The 25,310-nt window shown below is 41.9% G+C and overlaps 1 long non-coding RNA gene across 1 annotated transcript; it reads right to left on the bottom strand.

The window, feature by feature from the left end:
• Positions 1 to 742: 742 nt before the first annotated feature.
• Positions 743 to 13,172, bottom strand: LOC102723819 (uncharacterized). The gene is made up of 3 exons (XR_429957.3): positions 13,037 to 13,172; positions 9,917 to 10,024; positions 743 to 827 (listed from the first exon to the last, which is right to left on the bottom strand). It is a non-coding gene; the product is annotated as an uncharacterized LOC102723819 (long non-coding RNA).
• Positions 13,173 to 25,310: the final 12,138 nt, after the last annotated feature.

Genomic DNA, 25,310 nt, shown 5'->3' on the forward strand with positions numbered 1-25,310 from the left:
CTCCCAAAGTGCTGGGATTACAGGTGTGAGCCACTGTGCCTGGCTAGAATATACTTTAACATAAGTTACATGAATAGTTTTCTCTGTCTCAAAATACTGTAATATTTGGGATTGCAGCTGCCCGCAGGTAACTGAAACTGCAGAGAGCATACGGGAGACTACAGTATCTGACAATGGACTTGGATCTAGAATACATAAAGAACTCTTACAACTTGATAATAAAAAGGATATAACCCAATTTTAAAATGGACAAAAGATCTGAACAGATATTTCTCCAAAGAAGACATACAAATGGCCAATAAGGGCCAGGTGGTGGCTTATGCCTATAATCCCAACACTTTGGGAGGCCAAGGCAGGTGGATCACTTGAGGCCAGAAGTTCAAGACCAGTCTGGCCAACATGGCGAAAACCCATCTCTACTAAAAATATAAAAATCAGCCAGGCGTTGTGGCGCATGCCTGTAGTCCCAGGTACTCAGGCAGATGAGGCACAAGAATCACTCGAACCCGGGAGGCAGAGGTTGCAATGAGCTAAGATTGCACCACTGCACTCCAGCCTGGGCAACAGAGCAAAACCCCACCTAAAAATAAATAAATAAATAAAAATAAAAGAAAGAAAATAAATGGCCAATAAGCACAAGAAAATACACTCAATTTCTGTCTTAGTCTGTTTGTGCCGCTGTAACAAAATACCTGAGACTAAGTAATTTATAAGTAAAAAAATTTATTCCTCACGGTTCCGGAGGCTGGGAAATCCAAAATCAAGGTGATAGCACATTTGGCATTTGGTGAGGGCCTGTTCCATTGTTCCCGTTCTCGCAGTGGCATCTTCACATGGCAGGAGAAGAAAGGAAAAAAGAAGAAGAAATGTTATGTGAAGCCTTTTTATAAGGGCATTAATTTCATTCACGAGGGCAGAGCCCTCATGACCTAATCACCACCTTGAAGGCCTCACTTCTTAACATCGTCACATTAGGTCTTAGGTTATAACATGAATTTTGGAGGACTCCAACATTCAAACCATAGAAACATCATTAGCCATCGGGGAAGTGCAAATCCAAACCATGTTAAGATACCACTTCACACTCACAAGAATGGCTATAATAAACAGACACATAATAACAAGTGTTGGAGAAAATGTGGAAAAATTGAAACACTCACATGTTGCTGGAGGGAATGTAAAATGCTTTGCAATGAAGTTGGAACTGCTTTGGAAATAGTCTGGCAGTTCCTCCAAAGCTTAAACATAGAGTTATCATATGACCTGGCAATGCCAGGCTTCATCATATTCCCAAGGGAAAGGAAAACATATGTCCACACAAAAACTTACACATGAATGTTCATAGCAGCATTATTCATAATAGTCAAAAAGTGGAGACAGCTGGGTGTGGTGTCTCCCAACACTTTGGGAGGCCAAGGCGGGAGGATTGCTTGAGGTCAGGAGTTCGAGACCAGCCTGGCCAACAGAGTGAAATCCGATCTCTACTGAAAATACAAAAATCAGCGGGACATGGTATACGTGCCTGTAATCCCAGCTACTTGGGAGGCTGAGGCAGGTGAATGGCTTGAATCCAGGAGGCGGAGGCCGCAGTGAGCCAAGATCACACCACCGTACTCCAGCCTGAGTGACAGACTGAGACTCCATCTCAAAAAAAAAAAAAAAAAAAGTGATAAACAGATAAATGAAATGTGTTATATTCCTACAACAGAATATTATTGAGCCATAAAAAAAAAGGAAATAAGTACTGACACATGCTATAACATGAATGAACCTTGAAAACATTAGGTTACTTGAAAAAAGCCAGTCACAAAAGATCACAAATTGTATGGTTCCATTTATATGAAATGTCCAAATAGGCAAATCCTATCCTAAAAGAAAGTAAATTAGTGGTTGCCTAGGACTGAGGGCTGGAGGAAATGGGGAGTGACTGCTCATAGGTATGGTATTTTTTTTTGAGAGAAATGAAAATATTCTAAAATTGATTGTGGTGGCCAGGCACAGGGGCTCACGCCTGTAATCCCAGCACTTTGAGAGGCCGAGGCGGGCGGATCACCTGAGGTCGGGAGTTCGAGACTAGCCTGACCAACATGGAGAAACCCCGTCTCTACTAAAAATACAAAATTAGCCGGGCATGGTGGTGCATACCTGTAATCCCAGCTACTCGGGAGGCTGAGGCAGGAGAATCGCTTGAACCAGGGAGGTGGAGGTTGCAGTGAGCTGAGATCGTGCCACTGCACTCCAGTCTGGCGAGAGAGTGAGGCTCCATCTCATAAAAAAAAAAAAAAAAAGAAAGAAAGAAAAAAGAAAAAAAAGAATGTTTCAGGCAAAGGGAAGAGAAGTGCAATGGTGCTATTTCAGGCAGAAGCTTGTCAGGTTTGCTGTGGTGTGGTAGTGTGGAAGGACTCAGTGGGAAGGAAAAGAAATGAGGGCACAGTAGTGGGCAGGGCCAAGATAAAGCCATACGCATACTGCTACATTTTTTCCTTGTCCAATATATTTCATTAAATGTAGACAAAACTTATTATAAAGACATAACTTTTGATGTTTGTAAGGTCATCTGTTATTTGCACTCCTTTTTTTTTTGAGATAGGGTCTCACTCTGTCACCCAGGCTGGAGTGCAGTGTTGCCACCACAGCTCACAGCAGCCTCGACCTCCTGGGCTCAAGCACTCCTCCCACCTTAGCCTCCTGAGTATCTGGGACTACAGGCACATGCCACCGTGCCCCACTAATTTTTTATTTTTTGTAAAGACAGGGTTTCTCCATGTTACCCAGGCTGGTCTCAAACTCTTGAGCTCAAACAATCTACCCACCTTGGTCTCCCAAAGAGCTAAGATTACAGGCGTGAGCCACTGTGCCTGGCTTGTTATTTGCATTTGTGATTTTAAAATTCCATGTTTTTTATCATAAGATTGTCAGGTGCTTTCTGGACAGGAAATGCCTTAATTTATGACTCAAAATACAAACAAGTGTAGGTGATCAAATGCATATCTATGTCTTCAATGGAAATATATATACATACAAGTCATTAACGAAGACAAATGAGAACATGAAATTCATGACCTATTTTCCTTTCCATCACCTAGCCCCCTAAAGGAGAGATCTTTTTCATTCAGAGCCCTGGGTTTTGTTTTGTTTCATGATTTGCTTTTTTTTTTTTAAAAATAAGAGTTTATTTATTTATTTATTTGAGACAAGGTTTCACTCCCATCAGCCAGGCTGGAGTGCAATGGCGTGATCTCAGTTCACTGCAACTTCTGCCTCCTGGACTCAAGTGACTCTCTTGCCTCAGCCTCCTGAGTAGCTGGGACTACAGGCACGTGCCGCTGCATCCAGCTAATTTTTTGTAGAGACAGGGTTTCACCGTGTTGGCCAGGCTGGTCTTGAACTCCTGAGTTCAAGCGATCCGTCTGCCTCTGAGTCTCAAAGTGCTAGGGTTACAGGAATGAGCCGCCGCGTGGCCAAAAGAGTTTATTTTTTAAAGAAAATTGACTTCTTTGAAAACGTAGAAATGAGGCCGGGCGCAGTGGCTCACACCTGTAATTCCAGCACTTTGTGAGGCCGAGGCAGGTAGATCGCTTGAACTGAAGAGTTTGAGACCAATCTGGCCAACATGGTGAAACCCCATCTCTACTAAAAATACAAACATTAGCCGGGTGTGGTGGCAGGTGCCTGTAATCCCAGCTACTCGGGAGGCTGAGGCAGGAGAATCGCTTGAACCCGGGAGGCGGAGGTTGCAGTGAGCCAAGATTGCGCCATTGCACTCCAGCCTGGGCAACAAGAGCAAAACTCCATCTCAAAAAGAAAAGAAAAAGTAGAAATGAGGAAGCGGCCAGCCTGTGTGGGGATCTAATCAAACAAATCTTCCCCTGATGAGGGTAGCACTTAAGTTGAAAAAAATTTGCCTATATAATAAATATTGCAATACTTTATTTATTTATTTATTTATTTATTTTTCGAGATGAGGGTCTCGCTGTGTTGCCCAGGCTAGTCTTGAACTCTTGGGCTCAAGGGCTTCTCCTGCCTCAGCCTCCCCAGTGGCTGGGCTAATAGGCACACACCACCATGCCCAGCTCTACATACTGATTTTTTTTTTTTGAGATGGAGTCTTCGCTCTGTCGCCCAGGCTGGAGTGCAGTGGCGCGATCTCCGCTCACTGCAAGCTCCGCCTCCCGCGTTCACGCCATTCTCCTGCCTCAGCCTCCCGAGTAGCTGGGACTACAGGCGCCTGCCACTGCGCCCACTAATTTTTTGTATTTTTAGTAGAGACGGGGTTTCACCGTGTTAACCAGGATGGTCTCGCTCTGCTGACCTCGTGATCCGCCCGCCTCGACCTCCCAAGGTGCTGGGATTACAGGCGTGAGCCACCGCGCCCGGCCCATACTGATTTTGAAATTTAAAAAATCTACATTCTATATTCGCATCATAGCTTCTCCCTAATAAAATCTTTGTGAGTGTTTATGGGACTTATTCCCCGAAAAATCTGCAAGCAGCCTGGTAGCTTTATATACACAGGAAAGCCAAAGGACAAACTAGGAATTACCTCAGAGATGGGGAAAGACTAAGGATCTTACCCAAATCAGTTGAGAATCAGCCTTAAGTATAAATGGGCCAGGTGTTGGTGGCTCACACCTGTAATCCTAGCACTTTGGGAGGCCAAGGCGGGCAGATCACTTGAGGTCAGGAGTTCGAGACCACCCTGGCCAACATGGTGAAACCCCGTCTCTACTAAAAGTACCAAAATTAGCCAGGCGTGGTGGCACGTGCCTGTGGTCCCAGCTACTTGGGAGGCTGAGGCAGGAGAATCGCTTGAACCTGGGAGGCAGAGGTTGCAGTGAGCTGAGATCACGCCACTGCACTCCAGCCTGGGTGACAGAGTAAGACTCCGTCTCAAAAAAAAAAAAAAAAGTATAAATGAAGCACAATTAACATTTGTTAATTTTATAAAGCAAAAGTTCATAAAAATAAATATTCTAATTAACTCTCCTACATCTTATAAACACTATTACCAAACCCATTTAAGATTGAAGATAAATTATATCATGGCATGGGTAAAGATTTTCAATAAGGAGTTGCTAGGATAAAAGTCAAAATTCTCCAGCATAAATTCACTGACAGGGATTTCTGTTTAATCTTTTCAAAATTCTAATACCCAATTTGTTTCCTCTAGAGAATAACTCGTGTAACATCATAACCTCTTTGGTGGACCTTGATTTTTCCATCTGTAAAAGTATAGAACTAGTTTTGACTTAACAGTCAACAAATGCCTACCCTCTCCACATCTAGCTGATTAGAGCGCCCTCATGTGCGCATTTGCTGTAATGTTTTAGAAATCTGAAAAAGACAATATTAATCTCAGCAGTAATACAATAAATAATGTCTTCATTTGCACATTTATAGCAAATGCTATAAATATATAGCTCCAAGTATTACTCAGTAAAAGCTAAAGGCAAATGCTGTAGTAGGTTAATCTTACTGTCGTTCACTATCAAACCTTTCATATGCCAATTTTATCCTAAAACAGTGAAGTTATTGTTTTGGTTTCAATTTTAATTTAATGACTTAAAGGATTTTTTCCCTTAAAACTTCTAAGTATTTCATTATAATATTATTTCATCATTAGGCTTAAAGGAAAATATGTGGTCAATTGAGTTGTTATTTATTATACATGATAGCTTGACATCATCTTTTTAGGGATGGAAAACAGCTCCAGGGACCAAGTCTAACTCAGTTTTTTGATATAAGAATTTACCTGTCGGCCGGGCGCAATGGCTCACACCTGTAATCCCAGCACTTTGGGAGGCCGAGGCGGGCGGATATAGGTCAGCAGATCAAGACCAGGAGTTCAAGACCAGCCTGGCCAAGATGGTGAAACCCCATCTGTACTAAAACTACAAAAATTAGCCAGGCGTGATGGCAGGCACCTGTAATCCCACCTACTTGGGAGGCTGAGGCAGGAGAATCACTTGAACCCGGTTCAAGTGAGCCGGCTGCAGTGAGCCAAGATCACGCCACTGCACTCCAGCCTGGGCAATAAGAGCAAGACTCCATCTCAAAAAAAAAAAAAAAAAAAGAATTTACTAGTTTGAATCATAACAATTTCTTCCTACTCAAAGAGACTACATTGGAGGAAGCCAAAACAGAAGCTTATTTATTTATTTATATACTTTATTTATTTATTTTTGAGACAGAGTCTTGCTCTGTCACCCAGGCTGGAGTACAGTGGTGTGATCTTGGCTCACTGCAACATCTGCCTCCCGGGTTCAAGCGATTCTCCTGCCTCAGCCTCCCTAGTAGCTGGGATTACAGGTGTGTGCCACCACGGCCAGCTAATTTTTGTATTTTTAGTAGAGACGGGTTTTCACCATGTTGGCCAGGCTGGTCTCAAACTCCTGACCTCAGGTGATCCACCTGCCTCAGCCTCCCAAAGTGCTGGGATTACAGGCATGAGCCACCAAGCCCAGCTTAGAGAAGCTTATTTTTTAAAAGAAAATACACAAAAAAATCAAAATCTCATAAGTCCAATTGTAATTTTTTTTTGGCTTTTAAAAATTGTTAATGCCCTCAAATATTCTCCTATCCAATCACTGTATTTTAAATGGCATTCCTCCAGCAAATATTTGTTGAGCCCCCACTATGTGCCAGGATTGAAATGTCAAATTGAAGGAGGCAATAGCTACTGAAGTAAAGCAAAAAAAAGTACTGGTTATTTTTCCTTCTATAAAATGACCTAGTAATAACCGCTTTACCCAGGAGAGTTGCTGTAAAGATCTAATAACATGACACATATAACCACACCCCTAAAGAATGAGGTGTTACTGCATGTTCTCACTCATAGGTGGGAATTGAACAATGAGAACACATGGACACAGGAAGGGGAACATCACACTCTGGGGACTGTTGCGGGGTGTGGGGAGGGGGGAGGGATAGCATTAGGAGATATACCTAATGCTAAATGACGAGTTAATGGGTGCAGCACACCAGCATGGCACATGTATACATATGTAACTAACCTGCACATTGTGCACATGTACCCTACAACTTAAAGTGTAATAATAATAAAATAATAAAATAAAAAAAAGAAATTTTGCTTAAATAAATATTATAATAAAAAAAACAAATGAGGTGTTATTAAAATGTTTGCAAGAGAAACCCTAGTAATTCCAAACACATATTTTAGGAATGGTTTCTTGTGTAGAAAATCCTGGAATGTGAGGCTCTGCTGATTTTTTTAATGCATATTCTCTTCTTATGTATGCGGAATTTTTTTTTTTTTTGAGATAGAGCCTTGCTCTGTTGCCCAGGCTGGAATGCACTGGCACGATCTTGGCTCACTGCAACTGCCACCTCCTGGTTTCAAGTGATTCTCCTGCCTCAGCCTCCCGAGTAGATGGAATTACAGGCGTGTGCCACCGCACTTGGCTAATATTTGTATTTTTAGTAGAGATGGGGTTTCACCATATTGGCCAGGCTGTTCTAGAACTCCTGACCTTGTGATCCACCCACTTCAGCCTCCCAAAGTGCTGGGATTACAGGCATGAGCCACTGCACCTGGCCTATTTTTGTTTTTACTAATGTTTCAAGAGACCCACTTTATGTACAGAATTCTGGCTACAACCTAACAAATGAGTTGCTCTGTTCATCAGTTATAGCCAATTTAAGTAATTATGAAAAGCTCAACAATACTTTTAACTGGCAATGAAAGCGTCAATAGCTCACATTTACCACCACAACTTAGGATTTCTTGGTAGCTAAATAAAATGCTTCTATTTTGTGGGGGGAAACTGTCACATAAGTTGAAATTCTGCAATGTTCAATTGATGAAAAGGTCTCTATGTTAAATCAAAGGTATAAATTCCACATCAGTAGTACATGAAAGAGAAAAAAAAAGCCAAAATTAAAGTGATTCATGCCCACTTCCCTGAGTGAACCTAAGATTTTACTAACAGAGATGCCGTAACTTTGATCATGCACACATCCAACTTGAATTTAAAAACATGCATGCACTCACTCATCTTTTATCTCTTATGTAATTAATACTGTAAGATTATATTTTGCCTACGTGCTCTATATTACTAATTTATAGGATTATTACTATTCAGTGTTGTTTACTTGAAACCATACTGTACTATACACAACTTTTGCATTCCATGCTAACTTTATTTTTTTAATTATTTTTTTTTTATACAGAGTCTCACTCACTCTATTGCCCAGGCTGGAGTGCAGTGGCACGATCTTGGCTCCTGCAACCTCTGCCTCTCGGGTTCAAGTCATTCTCCTACCTCAGCCTCCCAAGTAGTTGGTACCACAGGTACATGCCACCACACCCGGCTAATTTTTGTATTTTTGGTAGAGATGGGGTTTCACCATGTGGGCCAGGCTGGTCTCGAACTCCTGACCTCAAGGTTATAGGCCTGAGCCACCATGTCCCAGCTCCATGCTAACTTTAGAGCTTATTTCCCATCCCATAAGATACAACACTACTTGTGTTATATAGTGAGCAGTGTGGGGAAGAAAAGCATAGAATTAAGTTAGTGACAAATCCAGTGAACTCAAAAAGAGGGAAAAAAACACTCCCAAACAATTGTTTTCCCCATATTCTATTCTCCCTAGAGGTATTCCATACAGGAACGAAAAAAGAAAAAAAAGGATACAAAATGAGAAAGATGTTCATGTGACATATAAGTACAGTAATAAAATCAACAAGCATATATGGTATTTAAGCAAAATAGTATGTATGCATTGATGGTCATCTGATATAAATCCATCATTTCTGTTGGCCAACATCTAAAACCTTTACTTTTCTGAGGAGACAAGCTATAAATCTATACGGATATTTCTACAACGAGAATTCACTATTACATATGAACCAATATAATTTGATGTCAAATATTCACAATTAGGTTTAAAAAATCCCCTACTTGGCCGGGCGCAGTGGCTCATGCCTGTAATCCCAGCACTTTGGGAGGCCAAGGCGGGTGGATCATGAGGTCAAGAAATCAAGACCATCCTGGCCAACATGGTGAAGCCCTGTCTCTACTAAAAATACAAAAATTAACTGGGCGTGGTGGCAGGCGCCTGTAGTCCCAGCTACTCAGGAGGCTGAGGCAGGAGAATCACTTGAACCCAGGAGGCAGAGGTTGCAGTGAGCTGAGATCGCGCCACTGCACCCCAGCCTGACGACAGAGTGAGACTCAGTCTCAAAAAAAAAAAAAAAAAAATCCCCTACTTATGTTAAGAGTACCAAAAATAGGGCCAGGAATGATGGCTCATGCCTATAATTTTGGCACTTTGGGAAGCCGAGGTGGGAAGATAGCTTGAGTCCAGGAGTAAAATAGTGAGACTCTGTCTCTACAAAAAAATAAAAAATTAGCTGGATGGGGCACACACCTGTAGTCCAGGTACTCACGAGGCTGAAATGGGTGGATCACTTGAGCCTGGGAGGTCAAGGCTGTAGTGAACTGTGATCACACCACTACACCCTACACCCAGCCTGGGCTACAAGGTGAGACCCTGTCTCAAAAAAAAAAAAAAAAAAAAAGGTACCAAAAATCTATAGCTGTTTCAGAAATAAAATACATGTAGTTAGTGAGGTTTTTCTCTCCCACTGCTATGACTTAATTTTTGGTTGAGATGCTAAGCCAAACATCATTTTAAGTCTGTGGCCCAACCAAAAAAGGGAATCATACTCTCCAAAGAATTGTACATTCCCACTCTAATTGCTAAAATAAAATGTTGGATTATGAAAATCAATTTTGTAGGTATCAATAAGTTATAAGAGCATGGCTTATTTAAAAAAAAAAGTGGGCCAGGTTACCTACATGAGCTGCAAAGCAAGCAAACTGAATTTTCTTATCGAAGAGCCCATCCTCATACTTAAAATTTCCCATGACTACATGGAAATTCTTTCACTTACCAAAAACACCTGATTGGCACTTTCACTGAGAGTTGTGTCATCTGGGCTGTCGACAGGTGTCTGACGTGTAAACTTGGAATCAAACTGACTTACATCCTCTTCAGATTGCTCTACACAAACAAAATAATTTAGAAAATAATGAATAGTCCATATGACATCAATCAAATGCACTGTAAGCTCTGGGAGCTCTTTTCGCAGGGGTGAACTATAATAAAGTATTAGAATAGTCTTAGCAGGCACTATTCTAATAGTGGAGAAATGCAAGTGGAAGAAAAAAATGCAAGTGGAAAGTACTGAGTCAAATTACATCTTCAAATCTTAAACATGCACTAAAAAAGATTTTAGTATACTGTTATTCCTATTAAAAATGTGAATATATTGGCTGGGCATGGTGGCTCAGGCCTGTAATCCCAGCACTTTGGGAGGCTGAGGCAGGCAGATCATGAGGTCAGGAGTTCAAGACCAGCCTGGCCAATAAAGCGAAACCCCGTCTCTACTAAAAATACAAAACATCAGCCGGGCGTGGTGGCGGGCGCCTGTAATCCTAGCTACTCGGGAGGCTGAGGCAGGAGAATTGCTTGAACCTGGGAGGCAGAGGTTGCCGCAAGCAGAGATCGTGCCACTGCACACCAGCCCAGGTGACGGTGCGAGAGTCTGTCTCAATGAAAAAAAAAAAAAAAAAAGAATATATCGAGCTCAAAACAAGCTGGAAAAAATGTGAATATCAATTTCCCCTCTCACAAAGCTTCAGTGTGCCTAGTCCACTGGCTAAATCCCTGTTTAGAGATAATTAATTCAGTTGGCTACTGCAGGTTTGTAATAAACCTGAAAAACTACTGAAGCAGAGTTAAAACATGAATAATACTGGTAAGATGCTCCAGTTAAAGTTTCTTCCCACAGCTCATTTCATTCCTTCAGAAATCTAAAGGAGCAAAAATAATTTTCTATTCCGCATGGGTTATAAGTTATATTTCCTTGTGAAAGTATAGTTATCACTTCAGTTCTAACCATGAGATTTATTTATTTAATTCCTTCTCTCTTTCCCAAAATATCTGGTTAAACTCTTGGGCCAAATGTAAGAAGTAAATAATAATTTAGAATATCTGACTTAATACTAAAAGATGATGACCACATTGACCTTATAATTCTCTTAGAGCCCAGACTGTGAACCTGCACTCCCTGGAGGAATGGCTGATTCCAAGTGTGGGGAAAATGTACAAGATAAGCATAGAACACCAGTTTCCTTATTTTGCTCTCTCGTACAACACCAGACAATGTGCTCATGTCAAAAGGACTCAGAACCCAACATGAAGATGCACCCAGCATTCACTGCACCCAGCATTCAACGAAGGGAAAAAACGAGCACCAATAAAAATAACTGCTAGGTGCGGTGGCTCACGCCTATCATCCCAACACTTTGGGAGGCAGAGGCAGGTGGATTGCTTTTGAGCTCAGGATTTGAAGACCAGCCTGGTGAACACGGCAAAACCCCGTCTCTACCAGAAACACAAAAATTAGCTGGGCATGATGGTGTACCTGTGGTCCCAGCTACTCAAGAGGGTGAGGTGGGAGGATTGCTGGAGGTCGGGACGTCAAGCCTGCAGTGGGCAGCGATCATACCACTGCACTACAGCTTGGGTGACAGAGTTAAGACCCTGCCTCAAAACAATAAATGAATAAATAAAAATAAAATAAAAATAACTGCGATGAAAGGAAACACAAATATGTTAAAACGTGTAAGTTCATAATATACTAAAAAAGAAAAAAACACACACAAAGTTCATTGGTCAATTTTGGAAGATGCTAGGGAACTAATTCATTATTTTGAAAACTAGGAAAGAATCAAACATACATCCTGCCTTTTCTGTATGAACTGTACCTTGGGTAACTAACTGATCAAAGAGTTTCTCTTTATGAAAGAATTCCAGCTAACAAAGAAAGAAGAAATAACAGTTAGAATAAAACCATTTCACAAACACCTGATGAAACTACAAAAGTAGGCCAGAGTTTCTCAACCTCAGGGCTACTGACATTTTAGGCCTATTAATACTTTGCGTTAGGGGGCTGTGCTGTGCTGTGCTGACTCTTACCCCTGAAGGTACCTATAGCATTCCCTCTCCCAAGCTGTGACAATCAGTGTGTCTCCAGACATTGCCAAATTACCCTGGTAGTGAAATGCTGACACAGGCAGTGACCACTAACATCACTAAAAAAACACACATATGCACACACAAGTACACATTATGCCTCCTGATCAAAGCATATGCGATACTGAGAGTGTAATCTGAATCAGATCAACCACCTAAATTTAACTACCAGTTTTTGGAAATTTGGGGAACAGATGAACATGGTCAATGACACTCTGGGGATAATATCAGCAAAATCAAAATTTGAGAATTCTACAGGACAAATGACCCCGTTTCTTCAGTAAATCACGAGGGGAATCTATAAACGAAAAGAGACCTAAGAGACATAGTAACCAAACTACATACAGACCTTGATTAAATCCTTACAAACAGGAGAAAAAAAAAAAAAGAATGGAACAACAACAACAAAAAAATTAGGTGGGGCAACACAGGGAGACCTCATCTCTAGAAAAATTCAAAAAATTGGATGTGGTGATGCACCCCTGTGGTCCCAGCTATATGGGAGGATCCCTTGAGCCTGGGAAGATGAGGCTGCCATGAGCCACTATCATGCCGCTGCACTCCAGCCTGGGCAACAGAGAAAGACCCTATCTCAAAAAAAAAAGAGAAAAAAAAAACTGGGGAAACTGTCAACTTCTTAGGTGTGATGATGGGATGACAGTTATGTTTAAAGAAGATGATCTAATTATTTTTAAGCTGGGCAGTAGGTGTATGACAGTTCTCCTCCTTACAATTGTTTGTTGTTTTTTAAAGTGGGTCACATTATGGGGCATGACCAAAAAATAATCACCATCATCATCCTCCTCCTTCTCCACCTACAGCCCAAGGAATGGAAAAAGAAACTGTTTTCTCAGATTCTGAGGTGGCAGAAAGACAATAACACACTAACTCATTTACTCATAAACATATTGTTATGGATTGAATCGTGTCCCTTACCCACCCCCCAGAAAATTTCGTATGTTGAAACTCTAACCTCTAGTTCCTCAGAATGTGACCTTATTTGGAAAGGGTTATTGCAGATGTAATTAGTGAAGATGAGGTCCTACTGGAGTAGAGAGGAACCCTAATCCAATATGCCTGGTATCCTTATAAAAAGGGGAAATTTGTCCACAGATATGCACACAGGTAGAACACCATGTGAACATGAAGGCAGAGATCCAGGTGATGCACCTACAAGCCAAAGTATGCCAAAGATGAGCAGCAAACCACCAGAAGCCAGGGGAGAGGCATGGAACATAAGGTTTCTCACAGTTGTCGAAGAAACCAACTCTAACAACGTGATCTAGAACTTCTAGTCTCCAGATCTATGAGATAATAAATTTCTGTTGTCTAAGCCACCCAGTTTGTGGTACTTTGTTGCAGCAAGCCTAGCAAACTAATGCACACATATTCTATATTTTGAAGAAAAAATTCCCAGAGAATCATATTTAAAATGGTTAAATTAAGCAAAATAAAACAAACCAAAAAAAGAAAAGTCCCAACTACCTGAAATATTTAATTGTCTTAGGAAACTGACTTAAAAATATCTAATACAGGCCGGGCGCGGTGGCTCACGCCTGTAATCCCAGCACTTTGGGAGGCCGAGGTGGGTGGATCACAAGGTCAGGAGTTCAAGACCAGCCCGGCCAAGATGATGAAATCCTGTGTCTACTAAAAATACAAAAATTTGCTGGGCATGGTGGCAGGTGTCTGTAATCCCAGCTACTCAGGAGGCAGAGGCAGAGATTTGCTTGAACCCAGGAGGTGGAGGCTGCAGTGATCCGAGATCACACCACTGCACTCCAGCCTGGGGGACAGATCAAGACTCCGTCTCAAAAATAAAAAAATAAAAATAAAGAGGAAGAACGCTATGGAATTTGACTAGAATTAGGGCTAACAATATGAAGCACTTTGGGAAGCCAAGGCAGGTGGATCACCATGTCGGCCAGGAGTTTGAGACCAGCCTGGCCAACATGGTGAAACCTCATCTTTACTAAAAATACAAGAATTAGCCAGGTATGGTGGTGAGCACCTGTACTCCCAGTTACTCCAGAGGCTGAGGCACGAGAATCACTGGAACCCGGGAAGCAGAGGTTGCAGTGAGCTGAGGCAGCCTGGTGTCCAAGCTGTGGTGAGCCATGATCATACCACTGCACTCAAGTCTGGGCAACAGAGGAAGTCCCTGTCTCAAAAAAAAAAAAAAAAAAAAAAGGGCCAGGTGCAGTGGCTCACACCTGCAATCCCAGCATTTTAGGAGGCTGAGGCGGGCAGATCATGAGGTCAGGAGTTGAAGACCAGCCTGGCCAACATAGTGAAACCCCATCCCTACTAAAAATACAAAAATCAGCCGAGTGTGGTGGCATGTACCTGTAATCCCAGCTACTCAGGAGGTTGAGGCAGAAGAATTGCTCGAACCTGGGAGGCGGAGGTTGCAGTGAGCCAAGACCACATCATTGCACTCCAGCCTGGGCAACAGAGTGAACCTCCATCTCAAAAAAAAAAAAAAAAAAATTTAAAAAGGGAGTATAGGGCCAGCCACGGTGGCTCACGCCTGTAATCCCAGCACTTTGGGAGGCTGAGGTGGCTGGATCACGGGGTCAAGAGATCAAGACCATCCTGGCCAACATGGTGAGACCCCATCTCTACTAAAAATACAAAAAATTAGCTGGACACAGTGGCAAATGACTGTAGTCCCAGCTACTCTGGAGGCTGAGACAGGAGGATCGCCTGAACCTGGGAGGCAGAAGTTGCAGTGAGCTGAGACCATACCACTGCACTCCGGCCTGGTGACAAAGCGAGACTTCGTCTCAAAAAAAAAAAAAAAAAAAAAAGAGTTTAAAAAAATCTTTACAGAAGAATGACAATATAGAAAAAATACAGAAAAAATAGAAAAGTCTCCAATTTCTAATCACTATAGTAATATTTGATTTGGGCAAGAAGCAATCCAGATGAAACCATTAAGTAAAGATTATTATGGGACAGAATATTCACACTGTTTCTATCATGCCATAGATCACTTGTTAATTACAAAAGGAAAAAGAGGCTGAGAATGGAGTCTCACGTCTGTAATCCCAACACTTTGGGAGGCCAAGGAGGGCGGATCACCTTAGGTAAGGAGTTTGAGACCAGACTGGCCAACATGGCAAAACCCCATCTCTACTATAATTACAAAACTTAGGCAGGCATGGTAGCAGGCACCTGTAATCCCAGCTACTTGGGGGGCTGAGGCAGGAGAATCGCTTGAACCCAGGAGGTGGAGGTTGCAGTCAGCCAAGATTGCACCACTGCACCCCAGCCTGGGTGACAGAGTGAGACTCCTTCTCAAAAAAAAAAAAAAAAAATGCCCTTATTCTTAGGAGATGTATAGAAGAAATTAGGGGTGAAGTGCTATGAAATCTGCAGTTAACTCTCAAATTGTACAGAAAGAAAATTTATTAATGTTAAAAAAAGTCAATATTCATAGATACACATATATGTGGGGGCAGGTAGAAAGGGAGGGACACAGAGACAAAGAAAATATGGCAAAATGGTAACACCTGGTGATCACTGAACTATTCTTGCAACTCTCAAAAGTTTAAAAAATTTCAAAGGTATATTGTTTTTGAACTGCTCGGGAGGTTTAAATTTTTGAATTTTTAAAATAAGCAATCAATTGTGAGGAAGTCTGAGAAGCCACAGACTTAAGAGATAAGATGAAAAATAAGGAAAGTAGAATCACAGTAATAAGAGGAACAGAGTTTCAAAATGCTGTGGTCAGTCAGTAGCTTCAATGCAAAAGAAAGTTAAATTAAGGACCAACTCAGTAAAGACAACTGGATTCAGCAACTGGGAAGTCAGTGATGACCTAGGGTACAGGAGCTGCACTGAAATAGTAGAGTTGGGCCACGCGTGGCCCACATCTATAATCCAGCAGTTTGGGAGGCCGAGGTAGGTGGACCTCTTGAGGCCAGGAATTCAAGACCAGCCTAGCCAACATGGTGAAACCCCATCTCTACTAAAAATACAAAAATTAACCCGAGACAGTGGCGCACCCCTGTAATCCCAGCTACTCAGGGGCCTGAGGCATGAGAACTGCTTGAACCTGGAAGGCAGAGGCTGCAGTGAGCTGAGATAGGGCCACTGCACTTCAGCCTGAGTGACAGGGGAAGACTCTGTCTAAAAAAACAAAAAATAGGCCTGGCGTGGTGGCTCATGCCTGTAATCCCAGCACTTTGGGAGGCCGAGGCAGGCGGATCACGAGGTCAGGAGATCGAGACCATCCTGGCTAACACGGTGAAACCCTGTCTCTACTAAAAATACAAAAAATTAGCTGGGCGTGGTGGCAGGCGCCTGTGGTCCCAGCTCCTCCAGAGGCTGAGGCAGGAGAATGACATGAACCCGGGAGGTGGAGGTTGCAGTGAGCTGAGATTACGCCACTGCACTCCAGCCTGCGTGACAAAGCCAGACTCCCTCTCAAAAAAAAAAAAAAAAAAAAAAAAAAAAGACGTAAACTGGGTATGTGCCTTTAGAGGTGGTGCACATTTTTAGCATTATAAATGAATATAAATGAGTGGCAATTGTTACTTTGGTGCACAGATTTTTGGTATCTTAACTAGTTTTTGGTCTCTTCCACTAAAGGCATTGCCTGTTGAACCTTGTTAGGAATGTAAGTACTGAAGGCAAACTGCCTGGGTTTGAATTTTGTTCTGTCCCTTGCACCCTGCCTGGTTTCAAATCCTAGCTCTGCTTATTACGTTCTTTTAAGGGGATGACCTTTGAGCAAATGTCTTAACTTCTGTTTTCCCCAGTAAATGGACACAATAGTTGCTACTTTGTGAAAGATTCATGTAATTGACCAGCATTTACCAAGTAGCATCAGTGTTTAGTTTCAGTCATTGGTGATTCTGCAGTTGGACTGTGAGGGGGTATTGGGGTGGGGGGTGGTGTGTGTGTAGCACTTAATTGCAGGCAGGAAGGAAAAGATACTTTTGATAACCGACAGGCAGCTTTTCTCTGCTTTTGTGTCAAAAGGGAGGAAGGGAGTTTGGAGAGGGAAATGAATTCTCTGTAACACTAAGCTCTCTTCCTCAAAACCAGAGGTAGATAGAATGTGTAATAATTTACAGAATTTCTAGACTTCAACGATCTGATTTTTTTAATTTATTTTTATTTTTTCAGGTTGAGACTGAGCTAAAGTTAATCTGTGGCGACGTTCTGGATGTACTGGACAAACACCTCATTCCAGCAGCTACAACTGGCAAGTCCAAGGTTTTCTATCATGAAATGTAGGTTCTATACTAACAATTAACAAGTGTACTTCAATAAATTTAAACATTCTCAGGAATAATTGACTTTGTTTCTTTTTTTCTTAGACATTTCATATTATTTTCCTTATTAAATATAACCAAAAATCCCACAGAAATTAACTGAGGAGCCTCTAAATATCAACAAAATTATCACTTGATAGACTAGAATTAAACAAGCAAGTGGTTCCAAGAAATGGCACGAGTGTATTAATCATAAAATAAAATTTCTACATGAAACATTCAGCCATTCTAGACCATTTCTGTCTGTGCAGACTCATCTTTTCCTGTTCTTTGCAAAGCCCAGCTAGAGCAAGCAAGTTCTTCCCAATAGGTTTTTCCCATCTCTGGTTGCTTGGCTGGCTGGGCTTCCTCTACAAACCCCCTTCCTTTCCCCTAAGCAGGGCCCGGTGTCCCCATCCCGCGGAGTTGACCTCATGAGGGCATCTGACCAGGAGTAGCTATTCCTGGTGCTATTGTCATTGTCCTGTTTCATGTGTGAACATGGCTGGCTCTACAGAGATTTGGCGGGTAGCAAGGAGGTTTCTTTTTGAATCTTCTTTTGGAAGTCAGACTTGATGAGGATCTTATGCCCACTTTTTCCTAGCTCTGTGGTGTCAGGCAAAGTCTGTTTCTGCAAATGGGGGTTAAGAATTCCTACCTCACAGCAGTCTTTTGATAAATAAATAAGATCTTAAGTGTAAATTATTCCACTAGAAATTGCACAGTCACTTTGGTCTTCATCCTGGAGGTCCACTGACAAGCCTCATGCAAACCTGTGGCCCTGTTCATAAAGTGTTTTGATCCATACTTTCAAATGGCCTCAGGAAGACCTTTTATAAAGTAAAAATGTTAGGCAGCCACATGATATCCATTGACCCAGTGAGGCTGTTTTACTGGATATAAGAGGTTTGACCCGGCATTTTGGGGGGCCGAGACAGGCAGATCACTTGAGGCCAGGAGCTGGAGACCTGCCTGGCCAACATGGAGAAACCCCATCTCTATTAAAAATACCAAAAAAATTAGCTGGGCATGGTGGCACATGCCTGTAATCCCAGCTACTTGGGAGACTGAGGCACAAGAATCGCTTGAACCCGGGAGTCAGAGGTTGCAGTGAGCCAAGCCGAGATGGCGCCACTGCACTCCAGCCTGGGCAGCAGAGTGAGACTCTGTCTCAGGGGAAAAAAAAGGGTGAGGGGAGGGTTTGAAAAAATAGTAGCATGTAGTTATGTTTCTACAATATTTGATATATATAAGGATTTACCAACCTCTTGCATTAGCTGCTATCCCCTACAGCAGTTGCTGTAGGAAAAAAACATCAAGTTCTGAGCTCCTACTGTTTGCCAGGCATATTCTGAGATGATCACGTTGAAATCTCAGAGTTACCCTGCAGAGTAGTCAGGGTATCACTGCCTGACAGATGAAGAAGCTGAGGCTTCCAGCAGTTAAATGACTTACCCCAGGCCACATAGAAAATGAGTGGGAGAGCCCAGGTCTGTCTGTGAGGTATAATGAAATTAGCATAAACCCTCCACATTGGCGCCACTCGCATAAATTAACATATATTCTCTCACAGAAAGTATTTTATTGGGCATAACAGTTTGTATCATTTACCGTTTAACATTAGCCGTGGATCTTCCCACATCACATGACTATGCCTCATTCTTTTTGGATAATATGATTACTATTGAATGGATTTACTATCATTCACTTAATCAATACTCCTTTTGATGGCCATTTTAATTGTCTATTTTTTCCTTTTGCACAGATTGGTGTAATAAACGTGATTTTATAGTAATATTTTTGTCTGCCTGTGAAAATGTTTGCTGGACAATAAATTCCTAGGAGTCAAATAAGGTCAAAGATTATAAATACAGTATTTATTTTCATAAATATTACCAAGTCAGCCACAAATGTTTAAATTACTAATGGTTTCAGATTATTGTATTTAATGAGTAAACACTTTTATAGGGTTTACTTTTATGAACACTTTTATTTGCCAGATATCATTCTAAGTCCTTTACAAAATTAACTTTTTTAATTTGTAATATAACCCTGAGATGTATATTAGGATTATCCCCATTCTACAGATAAGAACACTGAGAAGTTAATTAACTTGCCACATATCTAGGAAGTGACAAGGCTAGTTGCACAGCCAGGCAGTCTGGCTCCTGAGTCCACATTTTAGACAACACTATACCTCCTGGTTCTTTTGAGGCATTACTGCTGGAACTATCCTAATACTCATAAATAAACATTTCTTTTGGGGAGGGCCAAATAAAATTTTAAACAGAAAAGTTTTCACCAACTGTCAAGCTCATAAAGTTGTACGTTATACACTTTTTTCATGATGCCCACAGATAATTTATTAATGATATCATCTATTTTAAAAGACGTATGTAAAACCCAACCCTTAAGAAAGGATTCCTATCACTGTTCCCACAGGCACCCTCCTCAGTCTTATACCTTTCCATTCCACCCCCCAAAACAAATCATTCAGCATATTTATTTCATACTGTAATAGAGGAAGTAGCTTCTTTTTAGATATTCTTAGATTATTAACATTGATCATACAAACATGGAATAGAAATTCCTTATGTTTTATCTGGATTTAAGGTGCTACATAATGGAATCTATTTCTATCAAGCCATACACATTGGAGATAATGAAATCACTTGTGTTCTAGCCTAAACGTTATGGGAATTTCAGAACTGCAACATAACAGATAATCCTTGGACGAAAACTAAATCTCTCCTCTGGTCAGGCATCTATGTGCATCAGTGAAGAGAAGACGGGGACTGTGGAAGGGAAAACAGTGAGTCAGGAAGGACTGTGGCCACATCTGTTCCCCGGACCCTCAAGTAGTTAAATCCTGACCTCCTCTACCCCAGACTGTCCTGGGGAACGGCCAACACTGGCTTTTCACAACTGTGTGTTACCAGAAATGCAACAGAAACCCAGCTGAATCCCCAGGGTTTCCCTTCTGCCCTTCTCAATGGAAAGATCTGTCCCAGGACCATTTATTCCAACATTTTCAATTATGAGAAATCTGGGAAGATAAAGTTATTTTCACATTTCTCAAGAAATACATACTTATTCATACTCATGACAGGAAAGTCAGAATCTACAGAAAACCAAGAAGATTTTTAAAAATCCATGATACCACCATCAAAAGAGCCACACTTAGTATGTTGGTCCACAGGTTTCCTAGCACCCTTTTCTGTTGGTGTATGCACAAAATACACAATCACATTCTGTCTACATTTTACAATTTGCCATTTTTTGATTAACACTATATATTGACCAATTTTTAAGACCTGCAACATATGTCGACAACATTATTTCAGAATAATATATTTATAAATAAACGCACACACAAACTGTCTGTCTTATATACAACACGTCTTACTTTCTAATTCTCCACTCTGGAAGATTTAGGTTTTCCTAACTTTTTAATATACTCACCAGGAATCAGTAAACTTTTTTTATAAAAGGCCAAAGGGTAGATATTTTAAACTCTGCAGGCCATAGGTTTCTGTTGCAACACTCAACTCTGCTGTTGCAGGGAAAGAAGCCATACACAATTTGTAAATGAATGGGCATGACTGTGTTCTGATAAACTTTACAAAAACAGGTGGTGGACTAGATGCAGCCTGCTCCTCTGGACATGGCTTACCAGCCCCTGACATATACCACTACAGAGGATGCTGTTAGAATGAAATCTCTTTACACATCTCTGATCATCTCCTTAGGACTAATTGCTAGACATGACATCATGGTAGCTGTGGGTCAAAGGGCATGCACGCTCTGGGATGTACATTGCCAGATTGCTCATGATCAGCCTTTCTCATGTCAAAATGTTTTGTGACCACCAGAAGGCTGGTTCTGCTTTTATTATCCATTGACTGAGGAGTAGAAATGATATGGCATGTATGCAGGATATTTAACCATCGTATAGATAATCCTTGTGCACAAGTGCATTCTATATTCTTTCCCAATAGGTCTACATCTGCCAGAGTTGAAATAAAATAAAACAAAACAAACCTATTTAGCACCTTCTGTGTAGCAGGTCCATTCATGTATGTTGTTGTATTTCATTCTCAGAATTCTTATGACCTAGGCATTTTAAACATTTTTTTAAAAATATTGAGTTGACAAGGATTGTGTATATTTAATGCATACAATGTGATGATTTCATATATGTATATATTGTGTACTAATTATCACAATCAAATTTATTACATCCATTACCACCTATGCTGTACATTAAATCTCCAGAATTTGTTCATCTTATAACTGAAAGTTTACACCCTTTGATTAATAGCTTCCCATTTTCCCCACCTCCAGCCCTTGGCAACCACCATTCTACTATCTGTTTTTATGAGTTTGACTCTCTTAGATCCCACATATAAGTGAGATCATACAAAACTTGTCTTTCTGTGTCTGGCTTATTTCACTTAGCGTAATGTCCTCCAGGTTTATCCAGGACAGGAGTTTCTTCTTTTGAATGGCTAATAGTCCATTGTTTATATGTATTTTATTTATCCATTCATCTGTTGCTGGACACTTAGGCTGTTTCCATATCTTGGGTATTGTGAATAGTGTTGTAATAAACATGGGGCGCAGATCTCTCTTCAAGGTTCTAACCTGATTGCTGAATCGTATGGTAGTTCTGCTTCTAATTTTTTGAGGAACCTCCATACTGTTTTCTGTAAAGGTTATACCACTTTACATTCCAACCAACAGTGTACAAGGGTTCTCTTTCCTCTATGCTTTCGCCAACACTTGTTATCTCTTGTCGTTTTTTTATAAGAGCCATCCTATCCTATGAGGCAATATCTCACTGTGGTTTTGATTTGCATTTCTCTGATGATTAGTGGTGTTGAGCACCTTTTCATATGCTGGCTGGCCATTTGTATATCTTCCTTGGGGAAAAAAGTCCATTGGGGTCCTTTGCCTATTTTTAATTGCATTATTCATGTATTTATTAATTTTTGCTATTGAATTGTGTGAATTCCTTATATTTTTTCAAATAACCCCTTATCAAATATATGGGTCGCAAATATTTTCTTCCATCCCGTAGGTTGCCTTTTCATTTTGTCATGGTTTCCTTTGCTGTGTAAAACCTTTTAAGATTGATGTAGTCCCATTTATTTATTTTCACTTTTGTTGCCTGTGCTTTGGTGTTACATCAAAAAAAATATTGCCAATTATGACCAATGTCGAGGAGATTTTTCCCTATGTTTACTTCCAGGATTTACATGGTTTCAGATATTACATTTAAATCTTTAATCCACTTTGAGCTAATTTTCTGTATATGATGTAAAACAAGTATGCAATTTCATTCTTTTTCATGCACTTTCCCCAACACCATTCATTGAAGAGAGTTTCCTTTCTACATTGTGCCTTTTTTTTTTTTTACAGTACAGTGAAAGCAAGTCTATTAAGAAAGTAAAGGAATAAAAGAATCTACATTGTATATCCTTGATGGCCTTGTCAAAGATCTGTTGACCATATATGCACGGGGTTATTTCTGGGTGAGCTTGGCATTTTTTTTTTTTTTTTTTTTTTTTTGAGACAGAGTCTCGCTCTGTCGCCCAGGCCGGACTGCGGACTGCAGTGGCGCAATCTCGGCTCACTGCAAGCTCCGCTTCCCGGGTTCACGCCATTCTCCTGCCTCAGCCTCCCGAGTAGCTGGGACCACAGGCGCCCGCCACCGCGCCCGGCTAATTTTTTGTATTTTTAGTAGAGACGGGGTTTCACCTTGTTAGCCAGGATGGTCTCGATCTCCTGACCTCATGATCCACCCGCCTCGGCCTCCCAAAGTGCTGGGATTACAGGCGTGAGCCACCGCGCCCGGCCGAGCTTGGCATTTTTATCTACCTCATTCTACCGATGAGGAGGCCGAGTCTCAGAGAGTTCACAGACCTGCCTAAGGTCACTCAGCTAGAGGTGATACAACCAGGGTTTGAACTGAGATCTGCCAAGCTTCTGAGTTTATTCTTTTTCCCCCACACCAAGGATCCTCAATTCTGCCTTACTGACATCAGGATCCGGTCAATTCTTTGTGATGGGGGCTGTCCTGCACCTGGCAGGATGTTTAGCAGCTTCTCTGGCCTCCACCCACTGGATGCCAGGGGAATGCAGAAGAGGCTTGTTCATTCTCCCATTTAATCCTCAGGACAATATCTGACATAAATGTTACGTCTTTTATTTTATAAATGAAGAAAATGAGACTCAGAAAGGTTTAAGTGAGTTACTTAAGAACACACAGACAGCAAAGGTAGAACTGGAAACCGAACACAGGTGTCCACATGGGACAACAAAAAAGTTCACGTTCCATCTTCTTTTGAGTCTCTCATTTCAATAATTACCATTGTGTGGATATGAGCTGAAGTACAGGAAACCTGGGGCTGAACTCTCCTCCCATCAGGCCTAGGAGCCCCAGACCAGAACCCCAGCCCAAGGTCTCCCAGTCAGGCCCGCTGGCGTGAGCTGGCATCTACACTAGCATGGTCTCCCAAAGCTGCAGGGATGCCAGTCTCGCCGCTGATGAAGAAAATGAAGGGCATTTGCTTCTCATGCAGGCTGTCGGGATTTAACACAGATTCCTTTTCTTGCTCTCTTCTCCCATAGCACAAAACTGGGTGGTCCATCCCCCTCCCAGTGTCCCAAGGCTTTGTTGCGTGTTCTCTTTAATTTCTCCCACTCTTGTGGTGCACCCTACCCTCATCTCCCTGGCAACCTTTCTGCTGTATCCTCTCGACACCTGGATCACAAGAACACTTGTGAGACCCCTTAACAAGTTACATCCCAAATTATCATTCCCCTTTGTCCTCAGCCAGTGCTCAGGTCCAACTTGCTCTCCTGGGGTGACTTTCTTTCCTGCCCAATATGGTTTCATCATCTGTAAATTGGGGATAATTAAAGTCTTGATCCTGATATTTGACTCTCAAAGCAGAAGTAGCAAGCTCAGCCAAGTCACTTCAACAAGAGGAGAAGTTCCTTGTGAACCAAAAGGGCACTGGTCACAAGGGCCGCTCCTTCTTCTGTCAGGCCTCTCCAGCACGCCCTTGGCTCAGCCAAAGAAGAGACTCAGGCTGTGCTTCTGCACTGTTGGGATAACATAGGCCTCTTCCATGTGGTTCCACACCAGGAACATGGGGACAATCAGACCTCTCCCAGTGTGGGCATAAGGATACAAGATCATGTCAATATTGACGTTCATAATGGCTGGGCGCAGTGGCACATGCCTGTAATGCCAGCACTTTGGGAGGCTGAGGTGGGCAGATTGCTTGAACCCCAGAGTTCGAAACCAGCCTGGGCGACTTGGCAAAACCAGTCTCTACTGAAAATACAAAAAATTGGCTGGGCTTGGTGGCGCACACCTGTAGTCTCAGCTACTTGGGAGGCTGAGGTGGGAGGATTGCTCAAACCCAGGGAGGTTGAGGCTTCAGTGAGCTATGATGGCACTGCTGTACTCCAACCTGGGCAACAGAGTGAGGCCCTGTCTCAAAACAAAAACAAAGACAAAACAACATTCATAATAGTAGCAATAGCTACTATGTGCCAAGCCCAGGCACCTCTTCGAGTCTTTGCTGTCACCCTATCAGGTAAGCGTGCTTAGAAGTTACACGAAGCACACGGCTCAGTGTTTGGCCCATGGTAAGGGCCTAAAAAGGGATAGCCCCAGTGGTGGGGATGCTGCTGCTGCTGACCATTAACCCCAGTCTGCTCCACCTTCTTCCAGGCAGTCTGTGAGATGTTTCATGTCCGAGGCAAACAGCACATTCAGATCCCCAAGCTCTACACCTCCAGTGTGACCAGGCACCTGCACCACTTCAGGCTCATGCAGGACTCACAGCCTTTGGACCTCAGCTAAAGGACTTGCTTCTCTTCAGCACACGGGGCTTGTTTGTGTTGGGGTCTGAGCCCTGAGCCCATGGTCAAGGAGACCCCCAGGTCTTTCTGAACAGAGACAGCTGG

This window comes from Homo sapiens, chromosome 17 (assembly GCF_000001405.40).
Source record: "Homo sapiens chromosome 17, GRCh38.p14 Primary Assembly".
Taxonomy (NCBI): Eukaryota; Metazoa; Chordata; class Mammalia; order Primates; family Hominidae; genus Homo; species Homo sapiens.